The sequence below is a fragment of the Homo sapiens genome, chromosome 10 (genome assembly GCF_000001405.40).
Source record: "Homo sapiens chromosome 10, GRCh38.p14 Primary Assembly".
Classification (NCBI taxonomy): domain Eukaryota; kingdom Metazoa; phylum Chordata; class Mammalia; order Primates; family Hominidae; genus Homo; species Homo sapiens.
Window position 1 is genome coordinate 87,172,996 of NC_000010.11, and position 22,877 is coordinate 87,195,872.

Sequence of the window (22,877 nt, forward strand, 5' to 3'; positions counted from 1 at the left end):
TCAAGCATATATAAAAGCAGAGAGAATACTAAGCATAAGGCACTTTTTTTTTTTTTTTTTGAGACAGAGTTTCATTCTTGTCACCCAGGCTGGAATGTAGTGGCATGATCTCTGCTCACTGCAACCTCCTCAAGTTATTCTCCTGCCTCAGCCTCCCAAGTAAGTGGAATTACAGGCATGTGCCGTCATGCCCAGCTTATTTTTGTATTTTTAGTAGAGACGAGGTTTCACCATGTTGGCCAGGCTGGTCTCGAACTCCTGATCTCAGGTGATTCACCCGCCTCAGCCTCCCAAAGTGCTGGGATTATAGGCATGAGCCAGCCACCGCACCCGGCCAGCATAATGAACTTAGGTACCTATTAGCCAGCTTATTAAAACATGGTCAGTCTTGTTTCACCTGTTACCTCCCTTGTCTTTACTGTTTAAATATTTCACAATAAATATATTTTATTTTATAATTAAAAATAAAATTAAAACCTTATGCTTTTTAAAATAAAAGAATAGTTAATGTTTGGAAAATCTAGCTAACAATGTGAGAAAAAATAGAATTAAATTTATACTTTATGTTTGTGCCAATATAAATTTCAGATACATTAGAGATTCAAATACAAAAATAATGAAACAATGAATAGTAGAAGAAAATATAGGCAAAATTATTTGTAATGCAAAGGTTGGTAGGGTAAATAAAATCCAGGAACAAAAACTATTATACATAAAAACCACCATGTACAAAATTGAAAGGCAACCAAAAAAAAACAGAAAAAAAATTACATTGTCAGAAAATAATGCAGTAAGCAAAAGACACATATCTATAGAGATAAATGGGGAAAGGATATGAGTAGGCAAGTCCCCAAAGAAGAAATAAAAATGGCCAATAAATATATGGAAAAATTGTTCTTACAAGTAATTGAAAACACACAAAGTAATGATGATAGATGATTTTTCTTTTAAGAAATTGATAGAGAAGATATGGGAAAACAGCTACTGTCATCAGCTATTGGAAATGCAAACTGGCAGAACCTTTCTTGAGGATAACTGACAATTAATATGAACAAATTGGGGGTACTTTTAGCCCAATAATTTTAGCTATAGGAACTTATCATAACTATGTATAAAGATGTAGCTGAAAATGGGTTTATCATGGTATCATGTATAATTGTGAAAAATAAAAAACAACCAGAGTCCCTCAAAATAGAGGTTTGCTGTAATAATTTTTAAGATTTTGGTGTATCTGGACAATGGCATATTATGTAATATTTAAAAGCAATGTAGAATAATACATACATATAAAACTATATTTGACTTATTAAGTCAATCCCAATAAATAAAATCCCAAACAACTGGTTGTCCGCTAAAATGTTAACTGCTTATTTAGGGTGTTGAGATTATGGCTGCTATATGTTTATTTACTTGGCTTCTCTTAGCTTACTTTTCTAATCAGGTATTTTGTAATAAGACAAGAAAGCTATTTTAGTGATTGGTTTTAAGCAGTAACTTGGAATATATGCTTTAGTTCTAGCTAGTGATGCTCTGTCTTTACAGATTTACTGAGATGTTTGATGATTTTCCACCAAAAAAAAAAAAAAAAAATCTCTAGTGAAAGAAACTAAGGAGATGAGCAGGTGTAGTAAATTAGATTTATGGCCTGAAGTGAGAAACTAAAAAGACAGCTGATGTTATCAGAAAAATTAGTGCTAAGAAACCCTCTTTTGTTTTATTATAGTTTTGAAGTTGAATTTACTAATACAGAATATGATAATACAGATAAGTTGAATTTACTAATAGAGAATATAACAGTAATAAGGTCTGTGTTATTGTGGCTTTAAGTATTAGAATTGTGGCCGGCGTGGTGGCTCCCGCCTGTAATCCCAGCACTTTGGGAAACCGAGGCGGGCGGATCATGAGGTCAGGAGATCGAGACCATCCTGGCTAACACGGTGAAACCCCGTCTCTACTAAAAATGCAAAAAAATTTAGCCGGGCGTGGTGGCGGGCGCCTGTAGTCCCAGCTACTCCGGAGGCTGAGGCAGGAGAATGGCTAGAACCTGGGACGTGGAGCTTGCAGTGAGCCGAGATTGCGCCACTGCGCTCCAGCCTGGGCAACAGAGCGAGACTCCATCTCAAAAAAAAAAAAAAAAAAAAATTGTTACTGAGAGTTAAAAATAAGTACAATTGTGTCTAAATGCTTTTTGTTCTAGAAAAGTTAACTAAAATAACTATTGAAATATGAGTGAAATATTAGACTTGGGTTCATTTCAGTGTCCTTTCTTTAACAAAACAAAACACAACTTTGCCTATAGATAGATACATGAGAATTTTCTTTACAGAAAGCAGTTGGTTATTATAAATGATGACCGTTCAGGAGGGCAAGGAATCTTTAGAAAATATTTTATTAAAATTATCTCTGGTGGCCCGGCACGGAGGCTTATGCCTGTAATCCCAGCACTGTGGGAGGCCGAGGTGGGCGGATCATGAGGTCAGGAGTTCAAGACCAGCCTGACCAACATGGTGAAACCCTGTCTCTACTAAAAATACAAAAATTAGCCGGGAGTGGTGGCACGCACCTGTAATCCCAGCTACTCAGGAGGCCGAGGCAGGAGAATCACTTGAACCTGGGAGGTGGAGGTTTCAGTGAGCCGAGATCACATCACTGCTCTCCAGCCTGGGCAACAGAGTGAGACTCTGTCTTGGAAAATAATAATAATAATAATAATAATCTCTAGCATGCTTCTGTTGTCTTAATGCATCATTCATATTTTGTCTCTGTTTACCCAAATTCTTTAGTGATAAAAGATTAGATTCAACTGACTTAATCAGATCAATCTATTTAATCTGATACTAAGCCTAGATTTTTTTCCTTTTTGGTGACTTTTGTTTTTACTGTTTTTTTTAAGGTTATATTTGGGAATTTAAATATCTTTTTGTTCAGTGCAATTACACACTAGAAAACCTAGAATTGCATACAACGCCTTGGTCATCCTGTGAGTGCTTGTTTGATGATGATATAAGGGCAATTACATTTAAAGCAAAATTTCAAAAAAGTGCACCCTCCTTTGTGAAGATATCAGACTTAGCAACCCACCTAGAGGATAAGTGTTCAGGTAAGATCTTTATATACATAAATTCTGCTATTTTTATTTCTTTTGAAACAGGGTCTTGCTCTGTTGCTCAGGCTGGAATACAGTGGTGTGAACACAGCTCACTGCAGTCTCCACCTCCCAGGTTTAAGTGATTCTCCCCGTTCAGCCTTTCGCGTAGCTCAGGAGGGAAGGGAAGGCTAGTGCATACCATCAGTGCATGCCACCACACCCAGCTATTTATTTATTTATTATTTTGGCAGAGACAGAGTCTCCCTATGTTGCCCAGTCTGGTCTCAAACTCCTGGACTCAAGTGATCCTCTTGCCTTGGACTCCCAAAGTGCTGGAATTACAGGCATGAGCCACCACACCCAGCCCACTGCTAGTTTTAATATAAGCAAAAAGGCTACCACTTGTGGTAAAAATGTATAATTCTATATAAAAGTGAAATATAAATCTTTGCAAATATCTGAACTAGATTCCAGTAGTTTTAGGAACTATGTGCCAGGAACCAGGGACAAAGAGCAAATACCTATTTTTTATTATATGACAAGTGGGAGCAGAAATTCAGTTCCTTACTTTATCTTGGCCAAATGCCAGATTAAAATGTTACTAGTTGGGTTAATTCACATATATGTATAAATATGTTTTCCAATATATGATTGAAGGTTAGCATTGTTATATCATAAAACTATGCTAAGGAGAATACAGGCAGAAAACAAAGACAATACCTCTCAAAAAACCCAACTTTTAATTGAATACAGAGATTTCATTCTCAAAGAAGAGCTCCTTATTCCTAGTTCTACACTGAAACATTTACTAATACCAGCAGATAGTTTAAATTAATAATATTTCTGGAAGGTAAACACAGATGATAGAAAATTTATAAGCTTTTATACTATAAAAATTTCATACTATTTTCAAAAATGGAAGTTGCCTATGGTCATAAAAGACTCTAGATTTATACTAACTGGTAAAATCTTGGTAATGTTATAGCATCATGTAAGTTCCTAAGCCAGTTTTATATTTATGTGCCCCTCCCGTGCTCTGCTTCTCCAACTTCACAGACATATAGAGGTGGTCACCACAGGAAGGAATGCCAGACACAGTTGAGGGGCTACATTACTTTGCAGAGACGTTTAGTTTGGTGCCATGGAGAAGTCAACTCTGTTATTTACTGCTTACACAAAACAGTTATCTGCTGGGATTGAAGTCTAGAATTAGGTTTAAAAATAAAAATAAATAACATCATGGACAACAACAAAATAGGAGGCCACCATGCTGATGATGAAAGATTCTGAGGCTATAGCCCCACTTGTTTGAGGACGCAGCCAGGAATTGTGCATGTTCTTGGAAGTCCTGGAGGTGTGCTCCTCATTAGCAAGCCATGCCAAAACTGTGCCATTAAAATCAGTCCTTCAGAGGCTTTGTTCACAGAGGCCTGTTTAGCCTCTTTCATTCTCTTTATGTTCAGCTATGAGGGCTGAATTCATAGTTTCTGTCATAGTGTATGTGTTTTTAAGACAAAAATGGGGAGAGAATATGAAAACACAAGGAACTTTTCCCTAACCTATTTTATAGTTAAACAAAAGGAGAAAGAGAGATCAGCATGGGAGCATTTCCTAGAAGGGTCTGCTTGCTCAACAAAAGCCAGAGGGGGATGAGGCTAGGCCTGAGTCCTTGTAAAGAAATGAAGACGCTTACCCAGTACCTCATCTTACCGCCAGCAGAATTTCAGTGCTCAGCCGGAGTGACCCCCTTGAAAGCAAAGTCCACATTCAGCATGACCTTTTAATTCTTTTCAAGAGTTGTGTAAATTTACAAAATGATAGGATTATGTGAACATTCTTTTAAAATTATTGAATTATTAAGAATTTTTTAGGCTGGGCAGGGTGGCTCATGCCTATAATTCCAGCACTTTGGGAGGCCGAGGTGGGTGGATCATTTGAGGTCAGGAGTTTGAGACCAGCCTGGCCAACGTGGTGAAACCCTGCCTCTACTAAAAATACAAAAATCAGCCAGGCATGATGTCGGGTGCCTGTAGTCCCAGCTACTTGGGAGGCTGAGGCAGGAAAATTGCTTGAACGCAGGAGGCAGAGGTTGCAGTGAGCCGAGATTGCACCACTGCACTGCAGACTGGGTAACAGAGCAATACTCTGTCTCAAAAAAAAAAAAAAAAAAAAAAAAAAAGACTTTTTGAGTGGAGGGAGGAGAGCAAGGGTTTAAAAACTAACTGTTGGGTACTCTGCCTACTACAGGAGACTCTACTTGGGTGATGATATGCCCATGTAACAAACCTGCACATCTACCCTCTGAATCTGAAATAAAAATCGAAATTTTTTTTTTTACATAATTTTTTAGGCCAGACACATTGGCTCAAGCCTGTAATCCCAGCATTCTGGGAGGCCAAGAAGAGTGGATCACTTGAGCCCAGGAGTTGGAGACCAGCCTGGTCAACATGGCAAATCCCCATCTCCACAAAAAAATACAAAAATTAGCCAGGTGTGGTGGTGTGTGCCTGTAGTCCCAGCTACTCAGGAAGCTGAGGTGGGAGGATCACTTGTGCCCAGGGAGGTTGAGACTGCAGTGAGTCAAGATTGCACCACTGCACTCTAGCCTGGACGACAGAGTGAGACTGTCTCAAAACAAAAAAAAATAATAATAATTTTGTAGTGATTTGACATGTCTTTGGAAAGATGTGGTATTGAATCTTCTACAGTTTGTTACATATTCGATCGCTACACACTCCTGCTAACTCATGTAGGGATATGTGACACAATTGGAAGAGATGATGAAACCATCTTTGGGCATTGAAAGACTAAAGCAAATGAAGTTAAGAACAGAAGACTCATCATTAACTGGACTCTGAAAGAGATAACCAGAAAACAGTAGGAGACTAGAGTGATTAGTTCTTGACCTGGAGTGTTCTTACTTCTAAGTGGATGAAGAAGAACAAATTTGAAGGCTTAAGGCTTAAAGAAGCCTTTAAATTGACTATGGAGAAAGGGAGAATAATGCTCAGGAAAACTCATAGACCTCACCAGTACACAGTAAGACGAAAGTAAATTAGGAAAAAATAATGTCTGGGAGATAGTAGATATTCAGTATTTGTTTACTGGTGAATGGATGAGCCATTAGCAGTGAATTATGAATATGCTTGAGGTTTCTTGTGAGTCACCTGAGAAACGATTAATAAATGAGAACTTTTTATAACCCACACCCAGAGTATATAGATGATAATGGTGAGCGGAAAGTTGGAAAAAAGTTTAAAAGAGAACAGGCTATTGATATTTTTAGGTAGAGAGAAGAAGAAAAGTTCACCTCCTATTTGGCTTTTTTTTTTTTTTGAGACGGAGTCTTGCTCTTTCGCCCAGGCCGGAGTGCAGTGGTGCGATCTCGGCTCACTATAAGCTCTGCCTCCCGGGTTCAAGCCATTCTCCTGCCTCAGCCTCCCGAGTAGCTAGGACTACAGGCGCCAGCCACCGCGCCTGGCTAATTTTTTGTATTTTTAGTAGAGACAGGGTTTCACCATGTTAGCCAGGATGGTCTCGATCTCCTGACCTCGTGATCTGCCCGCGTCGGCCTCCCAAAGTGCTGGGATTACAGGCGTGAGCCACTGCGCCCGGCCCCTATTTGGCTTTTCACTATGATCAGTTTAAGAGAAGACAGGGCAAGGAGAGAGGACATGTTAGCTAGTTTCAAGTATTCGAAGGGATTTCTTCTAAAGGAGGTATTGAACTTATTTTGCCTGATTCCAGAGGATGGGGAAGGAAGGAAACATCACATGTTCAGCCAAATTAGCCAAGTAAACCTGCTCTCAGTTGCAGCCAGACATCCCTGCCCTTAGATTCTAGGAAAATAGTAAAGAAGACGAAGAACAAGACCTCAGTGTATCCTTTTACTACAAGTGACTGTAAATCAACTATAAAATTAGCCATGTTTGTAAATTAAAGTTATAATTTTGGCCCAATAATTTATAATATATCTGTTTGTTGTTTGTAGGAGTGGTTCTGATTAAAGCCCAGATTTCAGAGCTGGCATTTCCTATTACAGCATCTCAGAAGATAGCGCTAAATGCTCACAGTTCTCTGAAGAGTATTTTTTCTTCTCTTCCCAACATCGTATATACTGGTTGTGCAAAATGTGGATTGGAACTAGAAACAGATGAGAACAGGATCTACAAACAATGTTTTAGCTGCTTGCCATTTACTATGAAGAAAATATATTATAGGTAAGGCAACTAAGCAAGCCAATTTGATGGAAAATAATTATTATAGATCTGGAAAAATTAGTCTGTAAACCCTTACTTTCTAAAAATAATTAACTAGAGCTAGTCGAAGAGAATAAAATTTTCCGAGTGATAGATAGCTATTTATGGAAGCAAAAATTACCCAGGAATCGTTATAGGAATTTCTTAAAGATAGGAATTTCTTAAAGCAGTAATTGGGAGATTTTATTGTCTTCAAACAGCTGTACCAAAGAAACATTTTCCTTGGTTTACTTTTTAACCAAAATCTAAATGCTCATAAATAACTCATTTTCCCACCTTAACATAGAATTTAAGGGCTAAAAGTATCATATGATCTCACCTCTGAGTTGTTGTGGAAGCTAGTAAGACATTTAAGGTGTTTTCCCACCTTTACCTTAGAAATTAAAGCTAGCAAATAAATGTTGTATGGTAAAACTGCTAATCAGCTCAGTGAAAAACACATTGTTTTTTGAATAATAGGTAGTCAAAAGCTCAGATATTTTTCTCTTTACCTCATAAATTACATGTGTTTACAAAATAGCACTCAGTGTTTTATGCTCCTTATGATTATTTCTAAATATTGCGGTATCTAAAAACCAAATTCAGATATATTCCACATGTTATCATGGCATACTTCAAGAAAAGTTATAGAAGCTTAATTTGTAAACCTTATTTCTCTTTACAGATATTATGTTTGTTATAAATAAGTGAATAAATTTTGCTATTACTGTGAAAGTTGCTTTTGTGGAAAAGAAGATTGAATTAAGATGTATGGTAGGCTGGGTGTGGTGGCTCACGCATGTAATCCCAGCACTTTGGGAGGCCGGGGTGGGGGGATCGCTTGAGCCCAGGGGTTCAAGACCAGCCTGGGAAACATAGGGAAACCCCATCTCTACCAAAAAAAAAAAAAAAAAAAAAGCTGGGCAGGTGACATAGGCCTGTAGTCCCAGCTACTTGGGAGGCTGAGGCAGGAGGATTGTTTGAGCCCAGGAGATCGATTGTTACAGTGAGCTATGTTTGCACCACTGCACTCTAGCTTGTGCAACAGAGTGAGACCCTGTCTCAAAATCAAAACAAAAAATGCATGGTATGTAACAAACAACATTGATTTATTAATAGTTAAGGCCCCTCAAAAGTATGTATAGGTGACTTATTTATGTCATTCCAAATGTTTCTATTCAATATAAGCATTTATTGGACAAAAATGTTGCTCAATACTATTCCTTATGGGGAGGAGGGCCTTTGAATCTTTAGTTTACAAAATGACTGTTCAAGAGAAGGACTTCACAGATCAGTATCACCTGATTATGGCATAACTAGTATGAGGTATTTAAGATCTCTTCCTAAACTATACCACATTAAAGATGTAGTGCTAGTTTGTTGTCTTACTAGAATGTTGAATGGTCATGTTAAGGCAAGAATTATTATTTTTTATTTATTTACAAGCCTTTTTTTTTTATTTTTTGAGACAGAGTTTCGCTCTTGTTGCCCAGGCTGGAGTGCACTGGTGCGATCTCAGCTCATCGCAACCTCTGCCTCCCAGGTTCAAGTGATTCTTCTGTCTCAGCCTCCCAAGTAGCTGGGATTACAGGCATGTGCCACCACGCCTGGCTAATTTTGTATTTTTATAGAGACAGGGTTTCTCCATGTTGGTCAGGCTGGTCTCGAACTCCTGACCTCAGGTGATCCACCCGTCTCAGCCTCCCAAAGTGCTGGAATTACAGGTGTGAGCCACCAAGTGCAGCCTAAAAGCCTTTAAATTGTTATTAGAGTCCAGATTATATGGTTTCCTTGAAAAGAAAATATTGAAATTAACAAACTCCCTTCAAGTTATCAAGTATGTGACTCCAAAATCATCTACATAAATCAATCAGCAAACTGAATAAGAGAAAACTCTCATTGATTATTTTTCTAAGACTCAGTCAAATATTTATTAGGAATCCACGTATGTTCACATATCACATATGTACTGTGGATGTTATACTAGTTGACCTAAGTAGACTTATTGTGCCCAAGAAGCTTGGTAGTCCATTTAAGAAACACTTAATGAACATTTGTGTGGCATAACAGTCCCAGACTATGAGTGGGTTGATCATATTTTACATTGGTTGTAACTTGGAGCTGATTTTCCAATGGAAGCAACATTAGATATTGCATTGGAGTCTCATACGAGGCCACAGACATTTATTAAATTAACATGTAGATAGCATAGTTCCTGTTCTTCAAGCTATCATAAAACTCAAATACCATTTTTAACAATGTTTCTACAGAATATTCAGATTTACATTTTTGGAATACAAGAAATACATTTATTTTTCTGTACTAGAAGCAAAAAACCCCAGCAGGTCAAACCACAATTAAGGCTCCTATTTAGGCAGCACTAGGAAATGTTTGGGTCTCTCAAGAGGTTATAGTCAAGGTGTAGGCTGGGGCTGCAGTCATCTGAAGGCTTGACTGGGGCTGGAGGATTCATTTCCAAAGTGGCTCATTCGTATGGCTGGCAAGTTGAGTTCCTCTTCACTTGGGTGTCTCCACGGGCTGCCTGAATGTTCTCACAAAGTGGCAGCTCATTTCCTCAGAGCAGGAAAGGCAAGAAAGAGAGTTCCAGGTGGAAGCCAGCCTTTTTGTGACCTAGACTCAGAAGTCATGTGGCATCACTTCTACCAAATTCTGTTCATCAGAAGTGAGTTAGCTGTGCGTTGGAGAGTGGATTAGAATGAAGCTAGTGCAGAGAAGCGGTAAGAGGCTGTTGCCTTATTTTGGAGGGGAGATGATGGTGGCTTGACTAGAGAGGAAGTGGTAGGAATAAAAAGAAGTGGACAGATTTGAGAATGGTCGGAAAATAGTTTGCAAGATGTAGTGATTGGTAGGTAAAGAGAGAGCACAGGTACATTGCAAATCATTGACAGTTGGGTGAACAATAAGATTATTTATTAAAACAAGTAACCTTGGGAGAAATGTTGATCATATTGAGCTTGAGTTCCTGAGAGGTAACAAGTTGGAAAGTGGTTAGATGTAAAGAAATGCAATTTGCAAGAGAAGTCTGGGCTAGGCTTATAAGGTTATTTGTGGTAATTGAACTTTTGCTTGGTTTCTGCACCCTGTTTTGTTTTTCCTTCTTAATCTTCAGTGATTACCTCTCATAATGGATTATTCTCACTAGCCTATAAAGACACTCCCATATTTCTTTTATTAAAAAACAAACAAAATCATCCATTAACATTACATCTCCCTCTTGTCCCTTCGTTTTTCTATTCTGTTTTATACCCAGCCAAACTTTGTTAAAGAGTTTTAAATATACTCTCTCTCCCCTATTATGTCTTCAGTTTCACTTCAGTTATTCCATTCTACTCCTACCATGCTGCAGAAGCTGCTTTTGTCAAAGTTACACTTTTGATGTTGCCTGAGGCATGGATACTTCTTTCCTCACTCTAACTGCTCTCAGTTATATTCAGCATGTCAGTCCACTTCCTCCTTCTTGAAACAGCCTCCTCCTTGCTTTCTAACCTGTCTCTCAGGCCCTTCTTTCTCAGCCTCTTCTACCCCCTCTTTAAATGCTGGGGTTAATCTTGAGCTCTCGTCTGCGTCCTTCCTCTTATTCTTTCTGTACATTCTGCCTGGATGATCACAGCTGTTTTCGTATTTGTACTTAACATCTTCACCCTGATTTTCTCCTCCAGGCTCCAGTAGTCAGGTATCAAATTCTTTGCTTGACGTCCATCTCACATTTAAACATACCCACAATAGACTCTTGTTTTTCCTAACCACACTCAAATCTAGTTCTCTTCATTTTTATACTTTCTGGAAAATGGCACACCATCTACCCAATTATTTAGGCTGGAAACCTGGGCACAATCGTCGCATCATTTTCTCTTCCCTACCTCCCCTATCTAATCTATTAGCAAGTCCTAGGAATTTTCATTCAGAACTATATCACAAATTCATCCACTTTTTTCCATCTCCACTGCTAACATCTTAGTCCAGTGTATCTCAGCAGGGGCATTGTTGACATTTTTCTCAGGACAGTTTCTCATTATGTACCATATCCCACATGCTGCGGGGCATGTGGCATCCCTGTTTACCTTCCCCTAGCTGAACCTCAATTACTGTGAAACCAAAATGGAAAGTCAGTGCCTGCTGGTCTGGAATCACTCAGGCCTCATCTGAGTCCCTACGACCTGTTGCGCAAACCAGCACACCAGCAGTCTCTTGGTGGGGCTCCTCCTGGCCTTGCCTCCTCCCCTTTATTCTCTACCCATTGGCAGTGTGATTACCCTTTGCCTTTGCTTCACCCATCAGTCGTCTCCTTATGCTTGTTTCCTCTGCAGTCTCATCTGCTGCCACTCCCCTGTCGTCCAGCACTCTAGCCACGTGGCCTTCTTTCAGTTCTTCATTTTGATTTTTCTCCTTAGGATGTTCTCGAATGTCTTCCTTCTGTCTGACTCCACAAGGCTGGTTTCTTCATGTCTTAGATTAAATGCTGCTTTATCAGAGAGGCCTTTCCTAACCACTCTTCTTTATTTTCTGTTATAGTAGCCTGGGTGTGCTTACTGTAATTTGTAGTTGCATACTGTCTTTTCTAGAAAACATTTTTACTGAAGTTAAAATTCATATACCATCAAATTAATCTTCTGAAATGTACAATTCAATGGCTGTAGTATATTCCCAGGGCTGTGTAGCTATCACCACAACCAGTTAGGACATTTTCGTCACCCAGCCCTTTACAAAGCCTCATACTCATTAGCAGTCACTCTCCATTCCCCATGCCCCTCAACCTATGGCAACTACGAATCTGCTTTCGGTCTCTATAGATTTGCCTGTTCTAGATATTTTATATAAATATTATATAATATGTGATCTTTTGTGACTGGCTTCACTTAGCATGATGTTTTCAAGGTCCATCCATGTTGTAGCATGTATCACTACTTCCTTTTTATTGCAAAATAATATTGTATTGTATGCATATACCACATTTTATTTATCCATTCATCAGTTGATGGACAATTGGGTTGTTTCTACTCTTTGGCTATTATGAATGATGCTGCTGTGAACATTTGTGTACAAGTTTTTGTGTGGATATGTGTGTTCATTTCTCTTGGGTATATATTTAGGAGTGGTGGAATTGCTGGGTCATATGGTAACTGTCTGTTTAACCTTTTGAGGACTACCAGGCTGTTTTCCAAAATTGCTGCACAATTTTACATTCTCATCAGCAATATGAGGGTTGTAATTTCCCCATATTCTTGCCAGTACTTCTTATTCTGTATTTCTTTTTGTTGCATGTGCTTTCGGGTCGTATCTAAGAAAGGTGTCATTTCTAAGCCAAGGTTATGGAGATTTGCTCCCGTATTTTCTTCTAAGAGTTTAGTAGTTTTACCTCCTACATTTAGGTTTATTATCTACTTTGAGTTAAGTTTTGTATGTGGGATAAGGAAGGGGTGTAATTTTATTTTTTGGCATGTGGATATCTAGTTGTCCCAGCGTGAATTTTTGAAAAGACTGTTCCATCCCTGTTTAGTCATCTTGGCACCACTGTTGAAAAGCTTATTTTCTTTCTTCTTCTTTTTGTAGAGATGAGGTCTCATTGTGTTGCCCAGGCTGGTCTCAAACTCCTGGCCTCAAGCAGTCCTCCTCACCTTGGCATCCCAAAGCGCTGGGATTACAGGCATGAGCCACCGCGCATGCCCAATTTCTTCCTATCCCTCTACAGTTTTACGTTCCTTGAGTGACGGAACCAGATTTGTCTTTTTCACTAGTGGGTACCCAGCACTTACCACAGTCCATGATAGATACTCAGTTTATATTTGTTGAAATAAATAATGGAGGGAGAGAGAGGCTGAGGAAAGAGTGTAGAGTGAAAAGAGGAAGGAACATAGAGTCATCGTGTGAATAAAGGGGGAAGTGGGTTTTTAGGGGGAAAATCAGTAGTTATGTTTTAGCTCTGTCACATTAAATTCCCCCGCTAATGAGCCTGTTTCTGAATTCTGTTCTCAATTTATTTTTTAAAAATCAATGTAGTTATAAAATAGGTACCACATGCCATGATTAAAATGCACACTACATAGGAGGTTACAAAACAAAGAGTGAAAGTCTCCTTCACCATCCAACCCTCTCTCACCAGTGCTGCTTCCATTGCTGGTGAGAAGGTTTTTTGTATGTCCTTCCAGTGATTTATTATGTTCATCCCAGCACATGTGTATCCCTTTCTTTAGAAGCATGTGGACAGAAGAATATTGTTCATGTTGTTGTTCCCTAGAGTCTATCCTGGTGCTCCTTCCCTAATAGCACTTGCAAATGTTCTTCATTCTTTTTATCAGCTACATAGCATTAAGATGTAGGATGCACTGAAAATTGTTAATCCAGTTCCCTGTTTATTGATATGCAAAACAGTTTATTTCTGATAGGAAAGAATTCAGTTGAAAAAAGTAACTTGAAATTGTGATTGTGAAATATGTGATTATTATTTTTATTTTCATTTCTAAAAATAATTTATAAAACAGTTTAATATATTTTTATATTAGTATCTGAAATTTAAAAATGGATATAGAATAAATAAAATGTAGTAATTTATCATTTGAAGCTCTTGGGGAAAAAAAAAAACCTTTTTTTCCTTCTAGGATGTCACAGAACATCCTAGAGTTGTTTTAGGCATTCAAATTAATCCTGCATAAAAACCAAGTGCTTTTTGGAATTATTTTTCATTTAAGCATTTCTTTTATCTGAAAATCTTTTTGAAGGTCGTGTGTTGTTTACTCTTTTGTAGGCCAGCGTTAATGACTGCCATTGATGGAAGACATGATGTTTGTATCCGTGTAGAATCAAAGCTGATAGAGAAGATTCTTCTCAACATTTCTGCAGACTGCCTCAACAGAGTGATAGGTAATATATCAGTGTGCCATCAAGAAGTTGTTTTATTCAGGAGTATAAATGGTATATCGGAACAGAAAGAGCACTGTACTTTAAATTAAGAGCTTTTCTGTCCATATGAAAACCGAAGGATAATTTAGCTTAAGTGAAATATAAGCCTATGTAAGTTAGAAGGTTGACTTGCTTTACACCTGTTAGTACATGAACAGCGGGAGGCACCTAATTTCTTCTTAACCTACATTTCCTGTTGGTAAGCAAAAACTATTTTACTTAACTCTAGTTTTATAAGAGTGAAGTCAATGAGTGTGTGACATAATATATATGAAGATAGTCCACTGTCAGTGGAATGGATTTGCAAGATCTTCAACCGTGATGTCTTAGTTGTCAGTGGCTAAGAATAAAGCAAAGATAATATATTTGTCAGGTATTCAAACTCCATTCCTGTTCTCATTAGCCTCAGATCCTCTAAGCTGATGAGCTAATCTGGTTCCGTGATTGCTTTATCTTTCAATAGTAGATTGTTTTTCGTGTATTTTTTTAGTTGGGGGTGTCTAGTAATTTTGGGTTGAATGCTGAACATTGCATATATTAAGTAGAACAGTACAAACTGAGGTAAATAGTATTTGTACCTGGAAACAGGCATGCCTCTCGGTCCTTTACTGGAGGTGAGGGGTGAGCAGGATGGTCAGTCTTGTCATAAGTTGAGTTGGATTCAGGTTTTGTTGTTTCTCTGGTTACCTTCAGGTCACCACTGGTTTCAAATTATCTTGTGCTTATGGTGGGAAGTGGTTCCCCAGTATTCCTGCTCCACCATCAGCATAGCCCTCCACTCTGCACCTGGGCCTCAGAGAAAGTTTCTTTCCACGTTCTTGCACCTCCCCAAGTTGCACAAGCTTTTGTTGGTTGTTATTTGGTGCATCCTAACCTGGTGGGCGGGAGCAGGGTTGTTCCTCTTTGATTCTGGTCCAGCCCCAGTCTTATACAGGATGTTGAATATGGCGCTTTCTTGGTAGCCCTGTCCCTTATGTGGCATGGCAGCTGAGCTCTGTCTTGTGCCTTTAGTGGGTCTTGTGTGGTCCTGGCCCTGCCCCAGCAGTAGGGGACCACTAATGGTCTTGACCCAGGGTGGTTTTTCAGTCCTCCCCCAGGATGGAGGGGTTTTTTTTCTTTTTTCTTTCCCCCATCTGTACTGGTTCCTCACCTGTACCCTGGGGCAACAGGATTTGGTGTCCCTCCTCCAGCAGTTGAAGGCTTTTGTTCCTTAAAGGGGAGGCCAGATGGTGCTTTGTGTTTTGTAGTTGGAAGCTTTCTCTGATGTCTTGCCCTGCCCCCAGTCTTATGAGCACCTGGTGGAGGTGAGACTACTATGTGGAAGAGCCTGTGAGGATGCAGATGTTCCTTATGTTGCTGACACTGGCAGTTCATTGGCTTTTTGCAATTAATTTATTAATAAAAATTAATCACATTCTTCTTTCCTGCCTGTATGGAGGACCTGTCTTCTTCCCAAGGCCTGCCCCAAGGGAAACTGTGCTCCTGTTCCATCTCCCTGGAGGCACCTGTCTCCTTATGTTTCAGTCTTTTTGGCTGTTTTACAACCTTGGTTCTCATGTGTATTCAAGAAAATGATGATTTGATATTTATTCAATTTTTTCCAGTAACTGTTAGGGTAGGAGCCACTTTTTCCAGCTTTCTACATCTTAATTAGAAGCCTCTCTCCGTTTTTTTCCCCCATTTTCTTTATTTCATTTTTATTCTTTTGGCTATTTTCATTCCTTTTCTTAATGTTACTTATATATTTTCAGTGTAATCTCTTCTTTTTTTTTTTTTTTTGAGATGGAGTTTTGCTCTTGTTGCCTAGACTGGAGTGCTGTGGTGCGATCTCAGTTCACCATAACCTCTGCCTCCTGGATTCAAGCAAGTCTCCTGCCTCAGTTTCGCAAGTAGCTGGGATTACAGGCATGCGCCACCATGCCCGGCTAATTTTGTATTTTTAGTAGATATGGGGTTTCTCTATGTTAGTTAGGCTGGTCTTGAACTCCCAACCTCAGGTGATCTGCCTGCCTTGGTCTCCCAAAGTGCTGGGATTACAGGCGTGAGCCACCGTGTCCGGCCTATCTCTTCTTTTTTGCATAATGTAAATTAGTCTTTATCTCTTAGAGAAGCATCATTCTCATATCACATATACTTCAGTGTTTTGTCCATTCTTGAGACAATTAAAGTTGTACTACTTGGCATTAATTAGATTGTGATCATAAGTCAAAATGTCATTGGTTATAAAGTGGTCATCAGACCATGCAGACTATTACTAATATTGGTTATGTTTTAGTTTATTGCAGTGAAAATACAAAATTTAAAAGTTATTGTAGAGAATTATCATACCCCCCAAAATATGTCATTGGTCCTCCAGGACTCTGTAGTCCCCATCCAAGAAAGACTGTGATAATTGTCAAGGGGTTAGTACGGTCTGAGCATGGTTGATGGTGCTCTGTCATTCTGGTATTGAACAACCTGCCAAATGTCTTGATTACATGTCCTAAAAAAGTGAGGGGAAGAGTGTAGGACAAATGCAAAATAAAATAACACATTTAGCTATACTTTTAGTATTTTTTATTATTGAGATTCAATATTTAAGTGACCGATTCAAGATTCTTTTATATAAAAAATGAATATATGCATAAGTAACTGTGATAAGAACTGTGGATGGATAAGAGCACTTTTCTGATGTACTGCAGCATAACCAGAACTGCTGTCGGTCTGAACGGTGTGTTATCTGGGCCTGTTTCTTGTGTCAGGGGGATCACATGCCGTCACTCTGGAGTGCCTCAATAGCTTGTAACTAGAAAGAGAAGGTATAGAAAGAGTAGTTTACTTACCTGTTTATTTATTTAGAGACAGAGTCTTGCTCTGTTGCCCAGGCTGGAGTGCAGTGGCACAATCTCAGCTCATTGCAATCTCTACCTCCTGGGTTCAAGCAAATCTCCTGCCTCAGCTTCCCGAGTAGCTGGGATTACAGGCATGTGCCACCACTCCCGGCTAATTTTTGTATTTTTAGTAGAGACAGGGTTTTACTGTGTTGGCCAGGCATGTCTCGCACTCCTGACCTCAAGTAATCCGGCTGCCTCCGTCTCCCAGAGTGCTGGGATTACAGGTGTGAGCCACCGCTACTGGACGGGAGGAGAAATTTAAAATGGGTTTGAGACTTGAGGAACCAAAAGAAACAATGAAACCATTCAATGTGTGTGCTCCTGTCAAGCTAGCAGCGATCTTGGGAGCTCTGTGTTTTTGTCTTTTGCAGTTCCTTCCTCAGAGATCACCTATGGGATGGTCGTGGCAGACCTGTTCCACTCCTTGTTGGCAGTCAGCGCAGAACCTTGTGTATTAAAGATTCAGAGCCTTTTTGTGTTAGATGAAAACAGCTATCCATTACAACAAGATTTCTCCCTCCTGGATTTTTATCCTGACATTGTAAAGCATGGAGCCAATGCCCGTCTCTGAGGCCAGAGGAAGAAATTGCAGGCATTTCAAGGAAGAAGTACTGAAATGATTTGTCTTTTGAAATAAATGAATGACAGGGCTTTTGCTTTGGATTTTTTATGAAATATATTTTACAAAGAGAATTGCACTAGATATATAAATTAAAACTTTTTTCTAAGAAAATCCTGTGAGGTTTAAAAAGATTGTTTTTGTCTTTTGGTTTCTTACTTTCTCCTGGAGAAATGATCTACCAGTCAAGGCAATATGTAGCAGATCCCTGGGAATTAAAGGTTTGCCCATTTGTTCACTGTATTTAGTCCCTGCTACATTCCAGGCATTGTACTAAGTATGGGGAACCACAGAGAAGACATTCCCTCAGAAACTGCTGCAGTGCTTTCGCTTATCCCTACCTAAAAAACCGTCAATGTGAAATCATTTCCTTGATTATAACTATAATGATAATGGATTAGTTTATATAAACCTATGTTTAGACAAGTTCAAGACAAGCGTGTCTTTCTATAAAAAGTATTGAAAATGAAGGAAATGAGATCATGTTTCAATTTATTAAAGCAGGGAAGAGCGTTCTGTGCTTAGTTCGTGTCTAGGATTTGAGTGCCTTACTGAATGCATTTACCAGCAAACATGTAGCAATCTGTTCTCTCATTGTGATTGTGGAAGAAGCTCATGTAAAATGATAGTCATTAATGAGGAAGTATGGCGTGGTACTTATTCTGTAAGTTCAGAGTATGCTGAGTGTTAATAGATTATCATATTGCCTGAAAATAAATTCATGATGACATGAACAAGCTTCTTTTACTCTGTGTATGTTTTTAAAAATTCCTTTGGTTCAGAGGTGGTGGTTGTTTTTTAACTTGGCTTCCCTAAGAATGAACCACAAGAGTTTTGTGATTCTTTCAAAAATAATATGCCAAAATGACTTTGTGGGAGCACACACACACAACTGCATGTTTCTGTGGAGAAGGATCCATAGCTTTCAACAAATCCTCAGAGGGTTCTGTGACCAAGAAAGGTAAGAACAAGGCTTTAACTGATGAGTTTCTTTGTGGGGGAGATAAGGGAATTAGAGCAAATGATTGCCAAAGTTTTGTCTAGCAACTAATAAGGTGGGTACAGAAAGAATTGACTCCATTTTGTATCTAGAGAGACTGGAATTCAAACAAAATCATTGGCTCCCTTCAATGATTCGTTGAATGGGTGATGAAACTTGAGCCTGTAGTTGACACCTTCTAATCTGTGCTCTCTCAACTATAACCACACTAGGCGGATATTTGGAATTCTGATATAAAATCTGCCCAGTCAATATAGGCCAACCAAGAGAGCTGTTCGCTTAAGTGTGCCCTTCCCCACTTTGTCCTCAAGTGGAGACCTAATCCCTACATCAACCAGAACATAATCCCCAGGAACAGATGGCTCTTCACATCCTATTGGGAAGAAATCTTTAAACCATTTCAGGTGAGTCAACAGATCACACCAACATCTCTTCACAGTTGTTGGTATGTATTTCATTCATTAACACATATTTCCAGGAGCCCTTATTTAGGTTGGGAACTGTTTCCTCCAATCCTGAGGAATCTGAGCTATCTACAGAAGTTATGAGCTATTTAAGTGGGATCAGGATCAGCCCATTGCTCCTGCTATGGTCTGAATGTGTCCTCCCAAAATTCTTACGTTGAAACCTCATCTCTGATGGCATTCAGAAGTGGGGCATCTGGGAGGTGATTAGGTCATGAGGGCTTTGCCCTTGTGAATGGGATCAGTGCCCTTACGGAAGTGGCCCGAGGGAGCTTCTTTGTCCCCTTCTGCCACAGGATACAGCCAGAAGGTGTCATCTTTGAAGCAGAGAGCAAGCCCTCACTAGATTCTCAATTTTCTGGCACCTTGATCATCCCAGCCTTCAAACTGTAAAAAATAAGTTTCTGTTACTTATAAATTGCCCAGTCTGTTATTTTGTTATAGCACCCAGAACGGACTAAGACACCTTCTGTGTGTATTCTTTACCTGAGTTGACAAGTAAGTGTCTTTATTCTGTTATGTTTTCATAAAACTCAGTGGGGTAGCCAGAGTGTCATCCAGCAGTCCCATATCTGGCAGTCTTATGGTGGGCATTTCAGGGAGACCTCATTCTTCATCTTCTGATAGTTCAGCTTGCAGGGACAGCTCTCCTATTTTTAGAGAACCATTTTTATTTGTTAGTCACTTAGTTTCCCCAAAGGTATCCTTTTTCTAAAAGCGTTAGAGGCATTCACCTTTCTCCCCACTAGTAAGATCTGTGCTGTTTCATTTTACATCTTTTTTTTTTGGTTGGGGGAAAGGGGGCTGATCATCAAATGAGTTGACAACATTGGGTGCATGATCCACCCTGCAGACGTTCGCTGAATGTCTACCATGTGCTAGGTACTGGGAATGCAAAGACACAAATGTCTGCCTTCTGTAAGTTCACAGGCAAGCTGGTGAAGAAATATTTAAACAAAATTATATCAGCGCCAGGATTAAATCTGTGTGGAATACAGAGCCAAGGCAAAAGAGGTAACAGTAGGATGGGTTTGTTAGTCGTGACTCTTGGTTGCAAGTGATAAAAACCCAACTCAGAGTAGCTTGAGCAAAAAAGGGGGACTTGATTGACTCACATAAATGAGGGTAGTACCAGCTTAAGGCACAGTTGAATCCATTGGCCTAAATTACCTGGTTACCCCAACTCCCTAATTTATCTTTCTTTCTTTTTTCTTTCTCTCTCCCTCTCTCTCTCTCTCTCTGTCTCTCTCATCAGAAGAGGTCTTTTACGCTGTTATTGCAAAAGCATAGATGTTTCTACAGAGTTTTGATAGGATAACATTTTCACAGTGATTATAAATTTACATCATCCCTAGAATTCTAAACTACTGGGATCTGAGGCCGTAAGGTGTTTAAGAGTATTCTGACATTACCTTAGATTCAGCAAAACTTGAATAGTTGATCATGCCTTTCTTAGAAGAAAATATCTGTAATTTCTCAGAACAATATAGAATGAGACAGAAAAACTAACCATCCCTATGTGTCTTATTTTAAGTGATATATTTGTATCCTGATGGGTTTCTAGGTGTTGGAACACAGGTCATGAATCATAGAACAATTAGAATAAAGTGTTCGTCTTTATCAGTAGCTTAATTCTGGCCCTTCATTTAATGTCAACAGGGTAGAAATGTGTGAGAGGGGATGAGGTTTGCCAATTAATTGTCATTATGTCTTTGGAGGTCTTGAACCTGATTTGTTATTATGAAGTGAATTCTACCCACTTAAGGCATACATTTGCTAAAGGTGACCTCTCTGCTTCCACGTTGTTAAGAAATCGTGATTTTTTTCAAAACCATCATCAGCTTTACAGTTTTTGAGGAAAGATCTAGAAGCCTGTTAAAATGGAGTTACCAGGCAGGGTTCAGCCCAGGAAACCGAAGCCACTCTGGGAATTCTAAACAGAGAGAGATTAATGTGGAATTCAGGTGTTTGCAAAGGTATTGGAAGGCTGGAGGAGCAGGCATCAGTCTGAGCTCCAGGAGGCTGCCACGTGAACGGTGGATTCATGAAAACATCACCATTGGCTGCCATCTTAGACTGAGGATGCAGCTGCTGCCATCCTGGCAACTGACTCTCAAGCACATGGAAGCTGGGAGTTAGTTGCTGCTGCCCAAAACTCAGTCCCCACAGCTACACTTGCCAGGAACAGTAGCTTCAGGAAGATAGCCTGGATTTCACTCATCTTCCATATTGCACATGTGTGTGTTTCATTGATGGAACATGATTCACACTGAGAGCTTTAGCTGCAAGAAAGTTTGGGAAATATGTCTTCTCTGAGGCTTTTGGTCTTTGCAGTTCAGGAGCAGTTAGGAGGTGGGACTGGTTGGTTGCAGAGTGAGCTGATTTACTGCACTTAGTCTAGCTTATTAAAGGATGAGCTTATAAACACCCCAGGTAATATCATAATACATAAGTGCTACCTAATTACTGTGTGGGTCTGTTACCAAGAATGTCTAAGTCAAGAAATTGAAGATTGTTTCCTTAAGATTCTGCATCCTAATGTAGAATCTTTCCTATTAGAGTATAAGTAAATTCTTTTGGTATGTTATTTAAGAATATTTGTGAATAGGCTTAATTAAACACCATGTTAAGAAATTATAAACTTAAGGCCAGGCACAGTGGCTCACGCCTATAATCCCAGCACTCTGGGAGGCTGAGGCGGGCAGATCACTTGAGGTCAGGAGTTCGAGACCAGCCTGGCCAACATGGTGAAACCTCATCTCTACTAAAAATACAAAAGTTAGCCAGGCGTGGTGGTGCACACCTGTAATCCCAGCTACTTGGGAGGCTGAGGCAGGAGAATTGCTTGAACCTGGGAGGTGGAGCTTGCAGTGACCTGAGATCACGCCAGTGCACTCTAGCCTGGGCGACAGAGTGAGACTCTGTTTAAAAAAAAAAAAAAATTATAAACTTAAAAAAAAGAACGTTTTCCTTTAAACAAAAATGCATGTTCCTTGTTTTTTGTTTTGTTTTGCTTTGCCTTTTTTGAGAGACAGTCTTGCTCTGTCACCCAGGCTGGAGTACAGTGGCACAATTATGGCTCACTGTAGCCTCTACCTCCTGGGCGCAAGCAATCCTTCCACCTCAGCCTCCCTGGTAGCTGGAACTGTAAGTGCAGACCACAACAACTGATTTTTTATTTTTTGTAGAGACAGGGTCTCCCTACGTTGCCCAGGCTGGTCTTGAGCTCCTGGACTCAATCGACCCTCTTGCCTTGGCCTCCCAAAGTGCTAGGACTATAGGCATGAGCCACTGCACCAGGCCGTTTCTTTTTTTTTTAAACTTTGGAAAATATGGATGAACGAAGTGAGAAAAGTAACCCTTCTGTTATTCTACCAACCAAAGCTAATTGCTGCCAACATTTTAATAGATATTCCTTCAGTTGTTTTATGCATGTGTGATTTTATACATGTGTCTACTTTAAAATATATAGTCTTTCAATGTTGCCCAGGCTGGACTCAAACTCCTGGGCTCAAGTGATCCATCACCTCAGCCTCCTGCATGTATCTACATCTTATTTTATTTTATTTTTAGAGACACTCTGTTAACCAGGTTGGAGTGCAGTGGTGTGATCATGGCTCACTGCAGCCTCAACCTCCCTGGGCTCAAGTGATCCTCCTGCCTCAGCTTCCTATGAG

At 39.5% G+C, this 22,877-nt stretch overlaps 1 protein-coding gene and 1 long non-coding RNA gene across 36 annotated transcripts in view; one reads left to right on the plus strand and one right to left on the minus strand.

Annotated features, from left to right (window-relative positions):
- Positions 1–18,470, plus strand: part of SHLD2 (shieldin complex subunit 2) — a 96,993-nt gene extending 78,523 nt beyond the window's left edge. For 15 of the 34 annotated variants that reach the window (NR_165106.1, NR_165108.1, XM_047425370.1 and 12 more), the window contains 4 exons: positions 2,894–3,100; positions 7,080–7,308; positions 14,090–14,205; positions 17,489–18,470. Coding sequence is in view for 31 of the 34 variants with exons in the window: in XM_047425370.1 (XP_047281326.1) it covers positions 2,894–3,100; positions 7,080–7,308; positions 14,090–14,205; positions 17,489–17,688 (752 nt within the window). In the remaining 3 variants the exon portion in view is untranslated. Of the gene's footprint in view, positions 1–63; positions 160–2,893; positions 3,101–7,079; positions 7,309–14,089; positions 14,206–16,026 lie in introns of all 34 variants that reach the window. The other 19 variants (NR_165105.1, XM_047425374.1, XM_047425376.1 and 16 more) reach the window with 6 other exon arrangements.
- LOC105378410 (uncharacterized) lies at positions 16,784–22,280 on the minus strand. Of its 2 annotated transcripts, none has more exons than XR_001747528.2 (2): positions 19,687–22,280; positions 16,784–17,029 (listed from the first exon to the last, which is right to left on the minus strand). It is a non-coding gene; the product is annotated as an uncharacterized LOC105378410 (long non-coding RNA). The 2 variants fall into 2 exon arrangements; XR_001747527.1 differs by lacking the exon at positions 19,687–22,280 and adding an exon at positions 19,455–19,680.
- Positions 22,281–22,877: the final 597 nt, after the last annotated feature.